Consider the following 21,865-nt stretch of genomic DNA (forward strand, 5'->3'; position numbering starts at 1 on the left):
TAAAGAATTCAGGGAGGGGAAAAAAATCACTGTTCAGTGAGTGCAGCTGGGAATCTCTGAACCCAGCCCTCAGTGCCAGGGAGTGAAACCACAGCAAATGTCAGGGAGCGGGACCTGCGGAGGGGCCGGCTGGCTCCCCGCGGACAGAGGCGAGCCGGGAGCGCTCGCGCACCAGCCAACTGCCCCCTTCTGAGTGCGGAGCGCGGTCCTCCAGCGACTGCACTAGCAAAGTGGCCCGCTGCCACCGCGTTATTCACCTAGTGGAGGCGGCCTGATTTACTGGCGACTTCACAAACCCAACTCCACGCTGGAGCATTTGCATGGCTCTGTTCTCGCCTCGAGGAGCAGCCACTAGCGAACCCGGTGGAGCAGCTTGCTGCGAGAAGGAGCCGGGAGGGAAACTGTGGTACCTTATTTTACTGTAATTGCAAAAGGAACGATGTGCCAGAGATTTATATTTAGAAGTTGTATGTTTCTACTTTTATGTAAATGGAGCAATTAGGGCCTGTCTTGCTGCTGCTAACTCCAATGCGTGTGCATTGCTGGGGAGCTGGTGTTTTCAATCACAATTAGTGAGCTGGTCAAAAAACAAAGTTCGTTTAAGGATAAGAGCTCAATTGTGCGAATGGGGGAGAGGCCAGCGTTCGTGTGCTGGCCCGTGGCTTACGGTGACACCTAGCTTAGGGCCACGGCCAACCCTATAGTGGTGTTTACCTGTGGCAGCAGCTGTCCCTGTTCAAAGTTGGCATAGATGAGGAAGCAAGAATGTTCACTTTTCTTCTCAAACCGTCTGTCCTTCAGCTTTCATCCACGCTATTAACTGGTCTCTTTCCTCACTACTCCTGGAGCAAGGAGACAGGACCAGAAAAGGGAGTGGGGGTTGGGGCATTTTTCAGGGCTCTATTATTTTAGCTGCTGCTCACGGATTGCTGTTATTCAGTCAAAAATACAAGCCAGGAGACGCGAACGCCCCAAGCAGGTGACTGGGATGTTGTTCTCTGATTCAGCTGAAATGACACAAGGCTGGGGGTTCAGAGGCACGGACAAGAGTGCTGACGAGTCACGGTGTTTTCTTTCCTTCCTATGAAAAAATCTGTTTCCAAAAAAGCATGATTTCTGGTTCATCCCGTCTGGGAAACCGAACATAAAACGTGACTATGGAGAGAAATCAAAAGGACTCGAGGTGTTCCCAGCAGCTGATGTGTTATTCTGGGGCTCAGGCCGGAAAACCTGGCCTTGTTGGTGAGGGGTGACTCCCTCCAGAGGCAGCTCAGAATCCAGAGAACGTGGGCAGGATCCAGAGTACTATTTGCTGCAGGGAGACTGCGAGAGTCTGTGATGAAGGGTCTCATCAAATGGTTTAAATCGAACATGGGATTGGCAAACCCTGCCTGTTTCCTGGACAGCCGCAGCCTGTACATAGCTTGGGCTGAATGTTAGGTAGAAAGATTTGGGACAAAGGAGAATCAGCGTTTCACGTTCAAAATTGAACTGGGAAGCTGTTTTGCTTTTAAGTTAAATCAATGAATGAATAGATCGAAACAGAGAGAGAGAGGAAAGCATTAAAAAGTCCCCTGAAATTCATTGAGAACAACAGGGTCAGAAATGGTTAATCTGAAACTTGACTCGTAAGCTTCACATTTCTTTCAGAACCACCAGAATATCCCACAAGGCCTTCTGCTATGTAAGAGCACTCTGTTTTTAGATTATTTGGAAATGCTGCTTTCTGAACCAAGGGAACCCAGATACTAGAACTAAAACAATTAGGGAAAAGAGAAGGAGGAAGAAAACCCAGTAAGTAACCTATTACTCTTCATTCTACAGCAGTGGTTCTCAACCGGGGCGATTTTGCTCCCCGGGGAACATCTGGCCATGTTTGAAGACATTTTGGTTGTTACAGCTGGGAGGGAGGTTCTACTGATCATTAGTGGGTAGGGCCCAGGGATGCTGCTGAATATCCTACCATGCACAGGACAGCCCCCAACAACAAGAAATTACCTGGCCTACAGTGTTCATTGTTCTGCAGTTGAGATACCCTGATTTCATATTATAATTGTAAAGTTTCACTCAACCTTCTCCCTATCCATCTCCAAGAGGCCTTGGAAACCAAAAAAAAAAAAAAATTGCAGCTCTACAAAATACTAATAATTCAAGTGATTCTGCTTCCTTTTGCATCTTATGTTTTCTGATTACTGGAGACTACAGATACAATGTTCCTCTTGGGCAACCTCGTTGTTCCAACCAACTTTCACGTATGGTCTCAATACATTTTCCTGCTGGCTTTTTGTTCTGACCTAAAGCAGAATCTTGGTGACCAGCAACAAAATGAGATGGGCTGGCCCACACCCAAGTTGTTAGGAGACAAGAGACTCATGCAAAAGAGTAAATGAATAAAGGATTGAGTTGTTCATTTTAGCAATTCAGTATCAGATAAATCCATGCAATAGAGAATTCCCTGAAGTAAAATTCACAAACGTAGGATAACCATGCCTTTCTCCTAGAGCAAACAAATATGATGTAGCTTGATTTTATTTGTTTAATACCTTAGGGGAATGACATACAATCAATATCCAAAGAGATAAAACAGTGTTTTGCTAAATCCTAATGGCTGTTGCAAGCAACATTATATTCTCCAAACTTCCTTTGTAAAAGGAAGTGGTGTGTCTATTAAAGGAAGGCCATGCCCTTCCAGGTGTTGCTCTCCTGTGAGGACTGGGGAAACTATTGTGAAGGATTCCATCTCATGGAAAATCGTAAGAGTAATCAACAAGTATTGGTGAAATGCACAAGAGGGAAGTTGCCTGGATAAAACTAGCTTAGAACTGAAATCCTGTTGTCCATACAGTGAGTGCTTACTTCCCTGGTTCATCACTTAGCTCCTGAGTAAAATGGGTCATCCAGAAAGGAAAGGGTAGGTCAGAGATCATTTTAAGATGAAGGGAGCCATGAGGGGAATGTCTTAGACACTCTGACGCCGTATCATCTCTTCCAACGTGTGAATCACTGTCTCCTCAGGTAAATGGTCATTTTGGAACCAAAGGCCTCAATCAACTTTCAAATGATTCAGAAATGCCTGGACTTCTTCCCAAGAAGTAACCATGTAGTACATGTAAAAAAAATTCAATATTGAAAGAAATACTCATTTACAACCACTATATAAAAACATATATTGAAAAAAACCCAGACTAACTCAACCTGAAGAAATATGCCCTCAACATTCTTCCTGACCAATATATATTTCAAAATTGTTTATCATGACTCAGTTCTAACCCAATCAGGAAACATCTGCTTCAACAATTTATCTTCCTATTGCCTCAGAAGATTATTGAAAAATACCCCCCAAGGAATGCGGAACAGATTGTTGTAATCATTTTTCTCACCTGGATCCCCTTGGGTAATAAGTTCCATTGGTGACTTGAAGACATGGTGGTTTAGCACGTAGATTCCATTGGACTGATAAGAGAGCAGCAATCTTGATTTGCATCCACTTTTGCCTGTCCACAAAGATCCCCCCACAACCTGTTCCCAAATCGCTGCTTGGAGGGAAAAAGCCCGACAGAAAAGCCTGGGGGCAGTTCTGTGTGTATTTTTTTTAAATCAGTGAATTGCTGCCTCCCTCGTGTCCTAATAGAGTCCAAAGGTTCTGCCCTCTGTGGGAGCAGCTCCAAGGCATGGGCTGAGTGCTGCTGTTCACGAGTCCTGTGGACTCGCGTGGACACTGGCAGCAGCTCAGCTAGGTGAGTAAATATTTCCAGGTGGCCCACTCTAATTTTAGGAAGGTCAAGTTTGCAAAGGTGAAATAGCAAGTAGGACTTCTGTCACTTTAGATTGGAAAAGCAAACTGTAATTAAGCACAATATTCTTACAAAGTTTAAAATGGAATCACTGAATTCTACAACCAGCTTTAAACTTTCAAAAAATAACTTATGGCTACAATCCCTCTTCTACTCATTGAGTTCCTCTTAAAAGATGGAAGAGTATAATGAATGAGGGAGGAGCCTCTATAGTAGAAGGAAAAAAACACTCCAGAAAACCTCTCTCCAAAAGGCCAGGGGTTCATTTGTGATCCCTTAATGAAACAGGGGCAGAAAGCCAACAAGGTAATTTTGGCCAACTCCAACATCACTTAACTATGAGCTGAGAATAATTAAAATGGTGCTCCCTGTAGAAAAGAGTTCACCCAATAAGTTTCCCAAATTTCAAGGAGCTTTTGTTTTATTAGATGCTGTTATCTTCATGTTAGTCACAGGAAAAAAAAATGCCCACATACACACGCACAACTAAATGTAGTCAGTTTGCTCAGCTGCTGCTGACGTCACTGCTGCCCACTAGGAGTGAGTTACTGTCATAACCCCTCTTTTATTAATCATAGGCTGGAGGAAGCACAAAGTGAGTGACATCATTAGGCAAAGGACCGGCTAACTCATGCTCCAATTTACTCAGCTTTATTATAACATTTCTCGAGTGTCATATGAAAGTGATTACCATTTCACACTTTCCCCATCTGAGCAATCATCCCTAACCTTCAATTCAAATTCCCAGAGAAAAGCTTAGCTTTTCAGATGGAGGTGCATAAAGGCCAAATCTCACTAAGGGTCCTTGTCCCAAGAAGGAATGTCCTCCTCAGAAAGCCTTCTTCCTGGGCTTGAAACAGAGGCAGTTTCTAGAACCACTGGATACTAAATAATTCTCCATTGTCTCTGGCCCTGGCGGTGGCCTCTGACTGGAGAAGATCCTGACAGTCCAAATGGGTGCAGCCAAGTATGGCCTCCCAGTGACCAAGGGCACAGCCACCTCAGTGCTCTGAAGTATGCAAAACACCATTTGAAGATGAGGCAAAAGGTAGTGGTTGAATGTGTGGGTCCTGCAGTCAGACTGACTGGGTTCAAATTTAGGATTCACCACTTTCAAACTCCTGGGCAAATGACTTGGTTCCACAATTAGTATAATAAATATGGATAATAATATTCATAGATAGGATTGTTGTCAGGGATAGCTGAGTTAGTCGTGTGAGCCGCATAGAATGTGCTGGTACACAGTCAATGTTGCTTACTGGTATTATTTCTCTTCCTTTTTTAAAAAAGCTTTATTGGCTGACCTGAATTCCCTGCATCCTATTTTGTAGAGCCTTGGAAAGATGGGCAAATGCTCTGTGACAAGCCACCAGGGTAGACTGGTACTGAAAAGACCCTACTACACACAGGGGCTCTGTCCCTGGCTGGAAAGTTACAAGTCAGCCTACCTCTCTGTGATCTGGTTTCCACACCTACTACTCTTTATCCCATGAGGAGCTTCTGGAAACTAAAATAGGTACGTAATCAAAACCAAAAGAAGACATTGGTTCAAGGATCCTCAAGAGCTCAGCATCATGTTTCTGTTGTTTCTTTTTGAATAGACAAAATTCTCAGTGTTCAGTAGCTACACACACACACACACACACACACACAAACACACACACCCCACACACAAAAGTAGCATCTCCACAATGTTGCATGCATCAGGAAAGCAAATGTTTTTACCACAGGCTGGCTATGCCTCATCCTCTTAAACTAGCATCTTGAGGTCTTTGCAGAAGCCATTTTATAGATGCCTACACTCATCCCATTACTTGCATTCTCATCCTGAGGGTATTTTAAGGAGTCAAAATAAAGTTTACTTAGGCGTGTGTGAGAGACAGAATGATAGACCAAAAGAGAAGGCTAGGGCTTCGTAATATTTAGATAATGATGAAACTGAAATGGCTGATGCAGAGTGCAGTAATTATATAGGATACTTTATTATTTGGGTTCACCTTTGCTCAGTAGTGAATTATAAGCACTCTACTAGGTGAGAGGTTTGGCTTCCAAAATGAACAGCTGGCGCAGGATGGAACTGTCAGACCATGTCACATGATAAATAAAATAATACATAGAAACTTTAGGATCTCCTAATTGGAAGCTTCCTTTAGACAACAAAAGATGCCAGGCTATCTGCTGCCCCCTAACTGGTACCATGAAGAACAGCACATAACTTTTTAAGAAACAAAGTCTGATTCAGGTACAATTAGTTAGTGGCTGAGTCAACCTCCTAAGTTATAGTTGTGAATTTGGCCATTTCCATGAACCTGTTTGTTGCGATTAAGGCAAAGTCATCGGGTAGAGTCTGTTTTGTTTCTGTCTTTTCCTGATGGAGAGGCACTCCTGATTTGCAGCAGCTGCCCAGGTAGAAGAGTGTTGACCAAAGGACACATCACCAGCACAGACTGTTAATCATGTGACTAGAGAAAACTCTCATGGTGGCATTCAAATTTCCATATCCTTCTTCTATGGAAATTTCTGAGAGACCCAGAAAAGAAGCGTAACGACGAGGGAAAGTGATTCCTGCAGACCTGAACATTCCAGACTTACCAGGTGATCCAGCTGTCTGTCAGCGGGAAGAGGCTGAGGCGCCCCCTTCTGGTGCATCTGAATAGTAAGAAACCCTGTGTAGAAAGAAACCCTGTAGCAATTGGGCACCTTCTCCGTGATCTGTCTGCTTCCAATACCAAAAATTGTTGCTTTTTAAATGACATCCATCCTAAGCTTAAAAAAGACGCATATTATTTGTATAAAATGTTGAAGACGCAGAACAAAAAATGTAAATCACATGTAATCATCCCTTCCAGAAATAATCGTTATTAAAATTTCTGTGTATGTGTAAAAAAAAAAATTGCAATCCTACTGTAATATAATCCTGTATACTGATATTTTTCACCTATCACTGTATGTTGAGCATTTTCAATAGTCAAATTATTTCTTGAAAATATTAATGACTGGGGAGTAACCTTTCAAATAGGTGTGTCTTTATTTTTAAACCAGTCCACAATTATTGTATATTGAAGTCATTTCCCAAATTTTGTAAGTATAAGTATTGCATCCATCCTTATATGTATTTAAATGCATCTCTTATTATTTCCTTGAGATAAGTTCCTAGAAGTGGAATCACTGGATTTAAAAATGTGGACATATTTATGCCAGACGCGGTGGGTCATGCCTGTAATCCCAGCACTTTGGGAGACTGAAGCAGGTGGATCACTTGAGGTCAGGAGTTCAAGACCAGCCTGGCCAACATAGTGAAACCCCATCTCTACTAAAATTACAAAAATTAGCCGGGTGTGGTAGTGCACGCCTGTAATCCCAGCTACTCAGGAGGCTGAGGCATAAGAATCACTTGAACTCAGGAGGCGGAGGTTGCAGTGAGCCAAGATGGCACCACTGCGCTCCAGTCTGGGCGACAGAGTAAGACTTCATCTCAAAAATAAATAAATAAAATTAAAATTAAATAAGATAAATAAAAAATAAAAATGTGGACATATTTAAATCTTCATATATATTACCAAATGCCCTCCTGAAAGTTTTTACCTGTTACATTCCAACCAATAGTGTAAGGGCATGACTCTTTCCCTGTGTTTTGGGATGGATGTTATCAAAGTTCTCTCCCACCCAGGCCAAGTATGGTATATGCTTTGATTTAATTTGAATTTTTAAATTATTATTTAAAATGGACATTTTGTTGTCCATTTGAACAACTTTCTTTTGAGTCACTGTTCATGTTCTTTGCCCATTGTTTCTCTTTTATTAGTAAGAACCCTATTGTCATTTTTATATTTTAAATAAAATTTCATTGTATATACATTTATATTATCTATAGTAAAGTATATTTTATTATTAATGAGAACTTTTTATATTAAAGATCCTAACCTACTGTCTGCTACATATTATTGTAATTTGTTTCCCTGTTAGTTCCTGGCCCTTTAATTTTGTTTATATTAATAGTGTTTCAGGCCAAAAGAGAGTTTACACTTTTATATGAACTAATCTAGGAATTACTATCTTTTTGCTGAGGCTTCTCCATCAGGAAATCAAATTGATACTCATGTATATTTTTCACTAAATATTTTTTGGCACTTTATTCTTTAATCCAACGTATCTGGAATATATTTTGGCATACAGAACAAGGAAGAGCTTGACTTTTTAGAAATTTTTCCAAAGATTGAATGAATGAGCACCATTTATGAACTTTTCACTTTGGAATGCCATTTTCATCACCTATTGAATGTGTATAAATATGAGCACTAATTTCATTCAATTGATCTGTAGTGTGTTGCTAAGCTTGTGATCCCGTTCCATTGATATCTTTTTCCAGTTTTAATGTTTTTCTTTTAACTCTGGTTCTGTCCTATCCCAGGTCTTTTCACGTATGTGACTCAAATCCACAACTCAACAGTTATCTTGATTAAAATATCATTTCCTAATGCCAGGGCTTTATAACAACTGTAGATAATTCTAGGTTTTTCTCTACCTGCAGTTACTCAAAGTTTGTCATTTAATGGTAGCATATTATTGAACAGTGTGTTTGTTTGTTTGTTTGTTAAGACTGTGTCTCGCTCTGTCGCCCAGGCTGGAGTGAAGTGGCGTGATCTCGGCTCATTGCAACCTCCATCTCCTGGGTTCAAGTGATTCTCGTGCCTCAGCCTCCTGAGTAGCTGGGACTATAGGCAAGCGCCACCATGCCTGGCTAACTTTTTGTATTTTTAGCAGAGACGGGGTTTCACCATGTTGCCCGGGCTGGTCTTGAACTCCTGAGCTCAGGCAATCCGCCTGCCTCGGCCTCCCAAAGTGCTAGGATTACAGGCGTGAACCACCATGCCTGGCCTTAAACAATGTTTTTGATTGAAAAAGCTTCTTCCTAATTCTAGAAATAATAGGTATTCATTTTTCAAATACAAGCACCATCGAGGAAAAAAGAAAGGAAGGAAGAAAGAGAAAGAGGAGGGAGGTGAAGAGGAAACAAAGAAAGGGAGAGAAGGAGGGCAGAAAAAGAGGGAGGGAGGGATAGAGGGCTCCTACAGTTTAATCATTCAAAGAAAACCAGAAACAAAATTATAGTTTATGTCTTTCCAGAAATGGAAAGATCTTTCTTCATTTCAGGAACATTTTCTTCTATTGCATTTTTGACAAGTGTTTTTGTTTGTTTCTAAAATTTTCTTGAATGTGTAAATTGTTGATTTAAAGATTCTTTATTTTTTGAGTGTGCTCTTTAGCTTTCTTTGCGCTTTGTTTCGTTTCTTCTTGTTAGTTGAGGAATTTATGCATAAGCCCTATGTTGCTGTTTATTCTTTTCTGTTAACTCATTTTTGAATGGGATAAGACAGCAGGTCTACTGTTTGTCCTAAAATAGCATAGGTGTGTTCTCATCTATCCTCCTTTCTACTTCTCTCAACATCATCTACGTCTTGTCTAAGGGTTGGGTGGCCTCTGAGGCCTAGGACAAGAGCTGAGGTCATGGGTCGGAGCCTTCCAGTGACCCTGCAGCTAGGGCTTGTCTTGCCAACTTAGGAGCGTGTCCCTTCTGTTGGAGGAATACCCTTCAGGTTTCAGCTTTTTCCCTAGTTTTAGAATGGACTGGGTTAGAAAGATATTGGAGTTTGCAGCCTTTTTCTTTTGTACTGCTGCATGTGTTAAATTCTTCATCGTGTCTCAAGCTGACTGCTCTCGCTCCTCATTTCCTTTTCTTACCTGTGACAAAGCCTCTGTTCCTCCATCCTTGGATGTAAGCTTATGCCACCGTTAACAAAACTTAGGGAGAGAAAACTAAAATCACCCATGCACTCCAGGCTCGGCAGATGCTCACACCTGACTCATTCTCTTGTTTTCGGGTCCTTCACCCAACGGCTACCACAGCTGTCTGTTGGCTGGCTGCTCCCCGGTCCCCACTTGGACCCTGCTTCTCTGCAGTCCCTTGCATACAGACTCTCTCTGTAAGACACATTCTCCTCCCAGGCCATCCTCTTGGGCAGGACCTAAAACAGCGCCAGGCCTGCCTTCCCTCCCATGTAGACCCTATTAGCTCCACGGGAAACTCATGCATTTCTAGCCCACGCTTGATGGGAATGTGGTTTCTTCATAAACATAGTCCCCTCCTCCTTTTATCCTTTACCTTGCCTTAGACCAATTTACATTTATTCAGGCATGAGTCAAGCATCAGTATGCAGGGGTCCCTCAGCTGCAGAAGGTGCTGTTGAAGCCTATGTTAGTTATCTTCCCTGGAGTTGAAGAAGATTAATTAACCCTGTCCTGTTGGGAGAGCTGGGACTGACACACACCTGGCAGGTGCTTCTTCTGAAGGTGTCTCCCAAAATTCATCCCCCTCCCCGCCTTGCTCTCCACTCTCTTAAACTTTTATATTCTCAACATCTCTCCAGAGTCTTAAAACTAATGGAACCTGTTCTCAGATATCTACTTTAAAGATTCCTTTGCAGTGGTCTCTATCCCCTTCACTCTGGTATATGATAGCTATCTGGTATCCTGGCCCCTGGGTTAGAATTTCAATTCTAAAACATTATACTAGTTTTAAAACACTAAATGTTTGTTTTGTATTATTGCTTGAGTGAGAAATAAGCCTTTATTGATTTTGAGGCATCATCATTTTGGGAACTATTTCTTCTAGCAACTATTACCTTCAAGACAGAGAAGAGCAGAAGATGAGAAATTTAAAGGCAGAGGCTTGGGAACCTTCATATTTACGAGGTGAGTGGAGGAAGAGGAGCCTGTGAGGAGCTTTGAGAAGGAGTCAGATGTGTAGGAGAAAAACAAGTAGGGAACATTGTCAAGGAAGCCAAGAAAAGTGAGAGTTTGAAAAGGTCATATGACACGATGTGGTCAAGTAAGACACTGACAGAAAGGCCCAATAGATCTGGCAATATTCTAATCAGTGCCAGTGCTAGCCTGAGCAGATCAGCTTTGTTACTTGGGGATAGATTTTAGTGGGAAGAGAAGGGGATGAGAAGACTAAGGAGATGTATTCTGTCAAACGTGAAGAAGAAATTGAGTAATGACTAGAGAAGGAGACATTGAGGATTGAGAGAAAGCCCTTTTAAATTTTAAGATAGAGATTTAAGCTCTTCGGAGAGAAGTGAACTGCTAAAGGTAAATAATTTTACAATATGAGAGAAGACAGATAAGCAAGTTTCCTGCTGAAGTGAGAAATGATGGATTGATTCCAAAATAGACCCACATTCACACCACTCCTTACCACCTCCACCACCGTCCCTCAGGCCAAACTGCCATCCCTATTGACCTAAATATACCACCACACCTGAATAATTGCAACAGCCTCCTAGCAAATCTCCCTACTCCCATCCTTGCCCCCATAGACTATCTGGAATCCAACACTCAAAATGACCCTTTCAAAAATGCAAGGCAGATGAGGTCTCTCCTTTGCTCCTACCCTCCCGTGGCTTCTCCACTCGCTCACTATTGTGGCCAGAGAGAAGCTACGTGACCTGGCCACATCCCCGAACGTGCCTTCTTCTCTGTTTCTCCTTGGTCTCTGTCTTCTTCCCATGTGATCCCCCTTGCTATCCTTCCAACAGAATGAGCTCGTGCATTTCCCAAGCCTTTGTGCTTGACGTCGCCTCTGCCAGGAATTTCATCATTTTCCATCAGACACCCTCGCAGCTCACTCCCTGAATTTCTTGTTATTTGTTTCCAGATCGCTGAAGCCTTTTTGGACCACTCAATATAAAATAGCAACGGACTCCATCCTGGTACACCCTAACACCCAGGCTGTTTCATTTTTCTCTGTTATATTTATCACCATCTGAGGTATTTTTTTATTGCCTATGTGACAACACTAGAATGAGGGTAGAGACATTGTTTTGTTAACAGCTAAATCTTGGCACCTGAAACTGTGTTTGACATGTAGTAGTTGCTCAATAAATATTTGTTGGCTGATGAATTAATCCTAAGCATAGGTGGTAGGATTAGCCTTAAATTAAACAAGAAGAAAAAAAAATAAAGGATAGGCATAGAGAGACATGATAATAACTGACAGAGAAGGGAATTAAGAGAATTTTCATCTCATTGATTTTGCAGTAAAAAAGAAGGTAAGCTCATCTGCTGAGAGAGATGTCAAAGCTGGTGGAGGTGGTGGAGTGGAAGGTTTGAAAAGACAGATGAAATGTTATAACAGTGGCAGAAGCAGATAGGAGATGAGGGGGCTTCCGAACACCTCCAGGCATTCTGGAAGTCATTGAGACTGAATGCACAGAAGTTTCAGGAACACCAAACCACAGAGTTGTTCTGTCTTACCCAGAAGTGTTCTTCACTGTAAAGTGTAGAAGAGAGAAGGTCAATTGTTTAGATATAGCACTCCTGTCCAGTAGAACTTTCTGCAATCATGAAAAGTTTCTACAATCTGTACCGTGCAATCGAGTAGCCACTGGCCACGTGTGCTTATTGAACATTTGGAATGTGGCTATTGTGACTGGCTGCACACTACACAGTGCACATCGGGCGATCCAGACTCAGATTCTGGCAGAGCAGGAGCTGAGAAAGGACAACAAAGAATGGGAGTAAAAGGAAAGGTCAGTAAAGAAACTGAGCTGTGCCCTCAGGAATCTGAACCAGGTGAAGAAAGAAGTGAAGCCAGAAAGCAACTGATAGTTTGTGAAAAATAGCATCATCCAGGAATCAGAGATATCGATGATGTGAAATGTAGGTATGTTGAGAGAGAGTGAGAGCTAATGGGCATTGGGTCTCAGAAAATGGAATGCTGAAGATTAAGATTTCAAAGGACAAACCATTGTGAATAGTGAAACAGCCCAGGGCATGGGCATAGGATGTGTTTCTTATGTGGAGTGGTTGTGAAAGTCTTTGGTGTTAAGGGATTCAAAGGTCTGTAAGAGAGGGTTGGCTGAATAAAAAACCTGGGGTAGATGTCTGGCACAGAGATGTATAATGTGATAGCCACAGCCTCAAGGCTGTTTTTAGATGAAGGTGGAAATACGATGAAGATGATGCTCTGTTAGTTATCATTGATCAAGCACTCATTTCTGCTACGCATGGAGCAAAGTGCTTGATATATGTGTAATACCCTTTCACCCTTCAAATAACAATTTGAAATAGGTTTTCTTATTATTGCTAATTACAGATGAAGCCACTGAGGTTTGGAAAGACCAGATAACTTGTCCAAGGATATACCCTGAAGCAATATCCTTGGAGCTAGGATTTCAATCCAAGCAGCTTGGCATGAAAGCTCATGCTGGCCAGGTGCAGTGGTTCATGCCTGTAATCCCAGCACTTTGGGATGCTCGAAGTGGGTGGATCACTTGATGTTGGGAGTTCGAGACCAGCCTGGTTTACATGGTAAAACCCCATCTCTACTAAAAATACAAAAAATTAGCTGGGTGTGGTGGTGCTACTGGGTAGTCCCAGCTACTCTGGAGGCTGAGGCAGGAGAATCACTTGAACCTGGGAGGCGGAGGTTGCAGTGAGCCGAGATTGCACCACTGCACTCCAGCCTGGACAACAGAGTGAGACTCTGTCTCAAAAAAAAAAAAAAAAAAAAAAACAAGAAAGCTCATGCTGTCCAGCACTAAGCTCCATTGCTTTCTTCTTTTTTCTTTATATATTTCATGTTCTCATCTGAGCCTTCATACTTGGAGCAGCAGTGGTCAGCAGTAAGAGTCCTTAGTGGCTATCACCCACATCCATCCTCATCCATGTCTCCCAGATCAAGGAGCCGCAGGAAAACATGCATGCTTGCTAGGAGGTGGAATGTCCATGGAGGACTCCATGTCAGAGAAGTTAGCTGGTGGGCAAGCTTAGAGTGGAAACTGAGAGTTATGGCAGCAGATTACAATGGAACAAGTGGGAAAGTAGGAAGGGATGCAGTAGGAGGAAGATGGTGGGGACACAGAGCCCACTGGATGAGATTCCTGGCAAGGAGAGTCCTTGGAAGGCCTTCATTTGGGATGGTGCAAAAGGCTGACAAGCTAATATTAATTGACCTTAAACTTTCATACTTAAAATATAATATATATGGCATGCACAATACTCATATCTCATGCCATGAGAAACATTTAAGTATAATGCTTACATATATTAACAGATATTAGAATGGCACTAAACAGGAAACATTTTTAAATTTAGGAGTGCCTGGTTAGCATAGTGGCATTCAACCGGTTCTTGCTACACCTGCTTCCATGAGAGTATTACACAAGATAAAAACTTCCAGAAGCACTGAGATAAGAGTGGGAATGAATCTTAATCTACATACACAGGTGGTCAGGATAGGTAATTTACTTTATTTTTCTGTGATTGCATTAAATTCCTACCCTGAGCCTTCAATTTGCCATATGCTAGTAAATAAGCCTCACTCTCTTTGAAGTCTTCACATTTTTTTCTGTACCTAAATTCAGGAATGGGGGAGGGTGGATGGAGTAGAACAGAGGGATGAGAGAGCTTGTCTAGTTTTTTCAGTCTTGAGCTAGAGAGTGTAACATGTGGCTTAGCACCTGTCTTCTCTTTGTCCACAGAGAACCTTTCTTCCTTCCTGGTCTAGGCAGATCAGAGCCAACTTGTTCCTCATTGATAACTGTGAGGCCTTTTATTATAATATTTTTCAAGTTCTGGTCAGTATAATAAGGCAAAAAAATAAAAATAATGAGCAAAACGCAACAAAGTGGTGACAAAATTATCTTTGTTAGTAGATGGTGTGAGTGTGCTACAGGTATAATTTTTCAGTGCACAAATTCATAGCAAAATATGTGACATTTCTTCAGTTCTGAAATCAACACACATCAGTGGGAAGTCAAATCTCTCTTATGGTTTTTTGCCCTCCCCCCATTCTAAAGTTTCCTGGTCTTGGCAAAGGAAAGTTCCTCTGTTCATGGGTCCCCACTGGCTAGTGCTGGGGTGCCGGTGCTCTCCGAGAGGTCCCACAAGGACTGAGACCTTGCTGCTCTCCTAGGTACTGCCCAGCCGCCTGCAAATCTCCACTGCTCCTGTGAGGGGTGTGCCAGCCTCTCACCCACCACTTCCTCTCCTCCCTTGGCCATGTCCAGTTCATTTTCCTTTCTGCGCTGCATGTGCCAGATACCCACCATTGCCTGTTCCAAATTTAGTAAAAGTCTGCCCTGCAGAAGCATCTGAGGCAAAGATATACAAAGCCCTGGCTTTCTACCTTTCATACAAGAAAAAGAACAATACAAAAGATAAACACAAACCAATATTAAAACAAATTGTATTCACCATTGTGTGACCACAACAAACCCTAACTATGTTAATTTACAAACTTATGTTAAAAGTTCAGCCAGATAACAGAACACAAATATTTAGAAAATATATAACATTTTATAGGACAAAATAATATACAATGTCTAGAAATTATTTTAGAAGATAGTTGTTTCTCTACTCTCCATTTTATAGATGAAAGAAAAAGTGCATAAACAGAGTGATTAGTCCAACTTCATGCACCTATACAGTGGCAGAGCTAGACGACAAACCCAAGTCTATCCAGTTCCAAACTCCATGCATTCAATCACTACAGCATACTGCCATCATAAAGTGATATATTCCAGTATTATGTTATAGTGATTGGGTGATATATGGAGAGTTATGTATATATCTCTCTCCTGCATTTGTTGAGCATGTACTATGTGTCAGGCACTTGCTAAAGACTCTTCAAACGTGATATCTTTTAATTCTACAGTATCCACTCACATAGGTATTATTAATCCATTTTGCATCTGAGACAGATGAAGAATGTGATGAACTAATTCTTCATTCATTCTTCAACTGTAATCTGGTGTGTGCCAAGAATGCCATTAAAATTGTTCTGACAAATGTTACCAATAATCCTCTCTACAGAACATTTCAGTGTTCTCTTTTTGAGTGATTGCATCTACTTCCTGGTTTCAACTGATAATATTGGTGATTCCCAATCTCCCTCTGGCAACATCTTTTATCTGAGCTTCAGACTCATACAAACAACCATATATTGATTTTATCCATTCAGGTGTCTTTTAGGCACCTTCAACTCAGCATGTTAAAATTTAACCAACTTCTTTCTCCCTAAACAAGCTCCTACTTTTGAATTTTGATCTGTTATTGGTGTCCAATCACCCAAGAGTTCTTTCCTGACTACTTTCTTTTCAGTCCGCACAACTGAATGCAATCAATAACCTCATCATAACCGTTTACCTTATATGTAGTTTTAAAGGATGATAAAACAGGACATTGTAGGTTAGGACCTTAGCCCAGGTTCTAGCACGATGAAAACTCTCAAGAAATGTTGGCTATTGTTTTTGCTAATATATAAGCAATGACAATAGCCACTACCACAACAGAGACACACTGACTGTGCCACTGCAGACCACGGCTGTTAATTAGACGCTGGATCTTTTTAATTAATGTCCCTATTGTGTCCTTTTTTTTTTCTTTTTTTCTTTCATATTTCCATATCTTTGCTCTGTGTTTAATGAGACTTCTTCAACTTAAACTTCTATCCTTCCTTTTACTTTTGTTTTAACTAATATTTTTAATTTGTAAAAGCATTTCAATTGCTGTTTCCTTCCTGTCTTTGGGTTTAAGTTCTTTTAAAATATTTCTAAGAACATTTTTTCAACGTGCCCTTAGAAAAGACACTTTCTGTTTTGTGCTCTGAATAATTTCTGTTTTCCATATCATCTATTTTTTTGTTTGTTCACCTTTCATAACTTTGGTTTTCCTCATGCCTAGTGATTCTAGCTTGTCCCTTTGTATTCAAGATGGAATATGCTAATTATTATAATGGGCATGTTAATTACCAGAGCTAGAGTGAGTGCCTTTTGCTGTTGTCTAAGTGGTTTGTTTCCTGTCATCTAATTCTTGATAGGAAACATGAGTAGGTGATGTTGTTTGGTTTATTTCTCTTTATCTTGAACTCTATGCCTAGAAGAGCATCTGGCACATAATAAGGACTCCCAAAATAAAAGCACATTGTTATTGAAGGGCTTTTCCTATTGTAGTTGACAAGATTGTTAGTGGAATCTAAAGAGACTTCTAATGAAACATAGGCACTAACCTAATCCCAGGAAAGAAAGAGGAATGTATTTTAAGCGTGGTCAACCCTTCAAGCCAATGTTCTTTTATTTTCTCCTGCTTCTATTACAGAAACTTCCCAAAATCAAATTAAAACAGAAAGGGGCAATGCTGATCTGATAGCTCACACCCTCTGCATTGAGAATTAGATAGGAATCCTGATTCCATTTCTATTAGTGAGATCCTGAGATACATCCCTTAACCCTCTAAATCTTAGTTTCTCTAAATACAGAGGCTGTAAATCTTATCTGCTTGCTTCTCAGGGTTTTGTGGGAATTTAAGTAAATAGTTTATACTTCAGTCATCTTAGAAACAATTCATTTTACAAATACAGTTTACCAGGCTTCATTTTTAAACTCATAATTGTACCATAGCCTATGTTTACAAGAGTTCCTTCAAAAAAGCCTGTGATAACACATTGTGTTAACTGGCACATACCAGGGAATGTGTTCCTGGGTTGTCAGACATGAATCAAGACTTGATTAAATCAAATTCTCAGGTAATAATCTTTTAATCTTAGCACTCTATTGATGTCACCCCTCTATGACCTTCTGTTTGCTTCTGGAGAAGTCTAAAGTCAGCCTGATTTTTTTTTTTTTTTTTTTTTTTTTTTTTTGCTGCTCTCAAAGTTAGCTTGTTACTGTCTTTTTAAATTTTCTTCGTGGATACTTCTCAGCTCTATTTTATTTTGTTTTTATTTCTCTTCATAATTCAAAAACTCACCATGGTGGAATGATATGGGATATTTTCTATTAACACTTCCTGAAACATGTTTAGCCCTTTTCAGTCTGCATACTTTGGTGGTTTCTTTTAGCTCAAGAAAGTTTTCTTACAATTAGTCTGGTTTCCTCTCCAATTCCTAGTTTGGCTTTCCATTTTGTGAACCCTATATCTTTCCTCTGTGAGTATTCGACTGTTGGTATATTTCCTCTTTTTACTGGAAGAGCTACTGAAGTGTATCACTCTCATCTGTGTGGAATTTTATTCAATACCCATCCTGTCCTTTATAATCTCTAGTACAGATTTTAATTCTGCAATTGCCAATTTTTTATCCTTTTTATCTCACTTGGCCCTTTTTTATCCTGGATTTCTTTCTAAATTATTCCACTGCTTTTAATCTTATCATTCTCTCTTTTTCAGGCCACTTTTTCTTGGACTGCTTCAGGGTATCAGATTTCTACAATGTCCTTCTATTAGTAAATAACTTTAAGAAGAATGCTTTTCCACTGAATGCTAAATAACCTGGACACTTCTCTTTTTCAAACATATAGTTCTTTCATTGTTGTTTTTTTTTTCTTTTTTGCTTTTCATCTGGAAAGAGAGCCATTCATACTTGATGTTTGCAATTAGACAGATAATACAGATTCTTTGGCTTTGTTTTCTGACTTTTGTAACCTGGTAAAATACCCTGGAAGGAAGGTAATTAGTAACTCCTAGAATCTGTTAAGCATTCTTCTTAGGATCATTGATTTTCTGATATTCTACATCAGTGGTATACATGGAAACCTACAATTTCCAAGACACACTTCTATAGAGGTGCTTCCATTTCTTACCCTAAAGGAAGGCTTCACTAAGGGGTGGTGATTTCAAGATTTAATGTGTCAGTATTCCCTTGTTTTCTGGAAGTGACAGCCCCAAGATTGATGCAGAAAGTAACAGGGGTAGAAAAGAGGGGAGAGAGGGAAAAAGGCAATGTTATAGCCCATTTGGAAAGTCCTCTCTGTGCAGTGAAAGTGGGGAAAGGATGACTAGTTTTAGTTAAGAGTCAAAAATCAGGAGGAAGGATAGTTGTTTTCCCTTCTTTAATATTTAAAATTTTTAACTTCAATTCTTTTTTTTCTTAGAAATGGGGTCTTACTCTGTCACCCAGGCTGGAGTGCAGAGGGGTGATCATAGTTCACTGCAGCCTTAAACTCCTGGGCTCAAGTGATCCTCCCACCTCAGCCTCCTGAGTAGCTGGGACTACAAACATGAACCACCCCACCTGGCTAATTTTTTTTTTAAATTTTTTTGTAGAGAGGGGGTCTTGCCATGTTGCCCAGGCTGGTCTCGAACCCCTGGCCTCAAGTGATCCTCCCGCCTTAGCGTCCCAAAATGCTGGGTTTATAGGAATGAGCTACCACACCCAGCCCCGTCTTCTTTCTGATGAAAAGTGCTGTTTTATTTAATGAGTCAATGCATAAGTTAGCCAGTCAGGCCCCAGGAAATCAGAGTTAATGAAAATATCTCCCAAATTATCAGTTTGGTTGTTTGGTTATTTAAGGTAACCAAAAAGGGGAACTAGAAGGATGGCTTTTCTGTGAAATAATGAGACAATTCTATGTTTCTGTCTTTTACCCCTGCCATAGTTCTAAGGAAAAGCAGGTCATGAGGAAGGTTTTTATGGAGCATTTTGACAAACTACTTTTCCTCCTTCTAATACATGATAAGATTCTGGACAAGAACAAAGGCCTAGACTTTTCATAGCTTTCTCTGTCTCACATGCACCTTTCCAGCCCATTCCCCTTTATTCATACCATTCTCTGTTAGCCCTCCTGTTTCAATTCAAAATGAGGCAGAATACATCAACGCTTAGTGGTTATTCCCAATCACAATCTTCTCTATCAAATAAGAAAAATGATGTGTCTGACTAATAATGTTTAAAACACAATAGCAAAAATTCCACATAGAATTCTAACTAAACTGTTAGAGTTACCATTAATTATCACAGCAATTATTAATGTTTTCATGTTCATAACCAGCCTGAGACTCAGTTTTCTGAGCAGAAGGCATCTCAGAGTTTGTAAACTTGCCACAAAGTCACAGACTCTGACCGCCAGCAGGGTCCTCGTGAGTCATGAGTTCCGCCATGGCCCAGAGCTGCCAAAATGCCGTTCTTCCCCACACTTTTCCACAGGAACTGGGGGTGCCTCAGCCTTTGGAAAGCTACCTTGTACTCTATCCACACTCAATAAACGCTGCTTAATAATGACAATGAGAATAAGTGTTCCATCTCACTTTTCTCCGGAACACCTCTATTTAGGGAGCCACAAATATTTCCCCAAGTCATTTATTCCATTGCCCGATTGGCTGCACAGTCAAAAAAATTTTCCTACGGTCTCCCCTGAATGTTTCCATTTTCTTTTTGCAGCTCAGCCCGTTCCCCCTTGTCTTGTGCATGGATACTACCCTAAACTATGTTGGTGGTTAGGAAGTCATGCTGGGAAGACGTTGCCTCAAATTTCTTGTTTCCAGGTAGTCAAGTCCAAGAATATGTTCCTGGATTCTAGGTATAAGCTGAGCTTGATTTGCAACCATTCATTATGAGAAAAAGAAAATTCTTTACTTATTTATTTTTAAATGTTGGAAACTCTGCCAAGGCAGAGGACTGGGGAGCTGCAGAGTTGTGTAGAGCAGCCAGGGGCAGAGGCTGCCCAACTGTGGTTGCAGGATGGCCGCTGTCCCTGCTAGTAACTGAGGGATCTGCAGGAATGATTAGCTGAATTTCCAAAGCCCCTTCCTCCCAGGGTGTGCTCCTCAGAGTCCAACTACAGTGTCATGTGTCTGTGCACATGAGCCCACAGAGATGGGTGTAAGTGTATACAGCTTTGTGTGTGTAAATACAATACATCAGCAATTTCTGTTTCAGAGAGGCACTAAAATGTCAGTTAGGATCTGTTTTATCCAGTAGCTCCTGTGCTTACTTCCCCAGCATGAGTCCTTCCTCTTAGAACTGTGAGCAGGATCAGCCTTAAGAGATGTCTGAGTTACAAACTATTCACCTTTAACACGACCCCAAATGCCCTCCCTTCCCAAAGCAACTACCTCACTGCAAGAAATATTTGCTAAAAAATTTCACTCTTCTAGGTTTGAGGCGTGATCTCTCAACCTGATAGTAAACCTGATATTAAAATTCAGAGATATTCCTATTGATCTGTATTAACTCCTGTGGTAGAGGCTAGGAATACAGCCCTGAATAAAACAGCCAACCTCCCCTTTTTTTGCAGGAAGAAGGCAGACATTAACAGAACAGGGAGCTCGTGGATTCAGCACTCCTGGAGACAAGACAGCCAGATTTTCCTTAAAAAGTGACCCAAGGGCTGAAAACCAAAGGAGAAGTAGGATTTTTCTCAACAACAACATCTTGAGGTCATAATAATAAGTAAAAAACAATGCACTGAATGTGATTAAAGCTTATATTTTTCCATAGTAATTACAACAAATATGATCTAGTCTGAGTTTGACACCAACCCCTCCCTCCCACTGCCACTACCATGTAGCCAGTGGGGTTGTAATCGTAGTTCCCACTCCACAGGCTTTGAGAAGGCTTCAGTGAATTACCCATGGTCACACAGCTACTCAGTAAAAGAATATGAAATAATAAATGAGCCTTCCAATTCCAACTCCAGGAAACTTCTGAGCACAGCCTTCAGAGAAATTGGCTGGGGAGTAGAGGTAAGAGGAGAGATTAATCTAACCTCAGATGCCCAACTTCAGCAGTGGAACTCGGTTTTATAAATAAATGCAGGTTTAAAAAAAAAAAAAGCAGTATAATGGAAAGGCTTCAGAGACATATCCAAGCTCAAATCCCAGCTCTGCCAGTGATTAGCTCTAACCTTGGGCAAATAATTCAACCCAACTATAATATGTGACTCCTTCCAAGCCAGCAGGAAGATTAAATGAGCTACTAGAAGACAGAGGACCAGTACCTGATACCTTACATGTTCTAAAAAGTATGTCTTCTTTCTCCTGTTATCCAAGAAAAGAAGTAAAGCAAAAATAATGTCCCTTCACACGAGAGGCACTAGAAAAAATACTCCAAATGGCCAACCAGCTGTGGAGCCCTCAGGACCAAGAGGGGGGTGCAAATATTAATAATACTGGGAGGCAGGAGGGCACCCATGGATGATGCCTGCTCTCCCCCGATTCAGCTCCGGGACCCAAGGAGTCATTCCCAGTACAGCAGAAGGAAACCTAGATAGGGTCTGTTCTAGAGGAAACAG

At 41.0% G+C, this 21,865-nt stretch overlaps 1 long non-coding RNA gene across 2 annotated transcripts in view, besides 1 other annotated feature; it reads left to right on the top strand.

The window, feature by feature from the left end:
* The window catches only part of INHBA-AS1 (INHBA antisense RNA 1), an 85,460-nt gene that overhangs the window by 11,554 nt on the left and 52,041 nt on the right, over positions 1-21,865 (top strand). Inside the window, exons 2-3 of one of the 2 annotated variants that reach the window (NR_027119.2) lie at positions 5,126-5,310; positions 6,191-7,722. This is a non-coding gene — a long non-coding RNA (INHBA antisense RNA 1). Of the gene's footprint in view, positions 1-5,125; positions 5,311-6,190; positions 7,723-21,865 lie in introns of those variants that run through there. The other variant, NR_027118.2, reaches the window with a different exon arrangement.
* Positions 3,666-4,865: an enhancer, noted in NCBI's record as "CDK7 strongly-dependent group 2 enhancer chr7:41748736-41749935 (GRCh37/hg19 assembly coordinates)". NCBI's record gives its function as "activates an origin of replication core promoter dependent on BRD2, BRD4, P300/CBP, MED14 and CDK7 cofactors, with strong dependence on CDK7, by STARR-seq in HCT116 cells {active_cell/tissue: HCT116}" and the evidence as "EXISTENCE:reporter gene assay evidence [ECO:0000049][PMID:35650434]".

The sequence above is a fragment of the Homo sapiens genome, chromosome 7, assembly GCF_000001405.40.
Source record: "Homo sapiens chromosome 7, GRCh38.p14 Primary Assembly".
Taxonomy (NCBI): domain Eukaryota; kingdom Metazoa; phylum Chordata; class Mammalia; order Primates; family Hominidae; genus Homo; species Homo sapiens.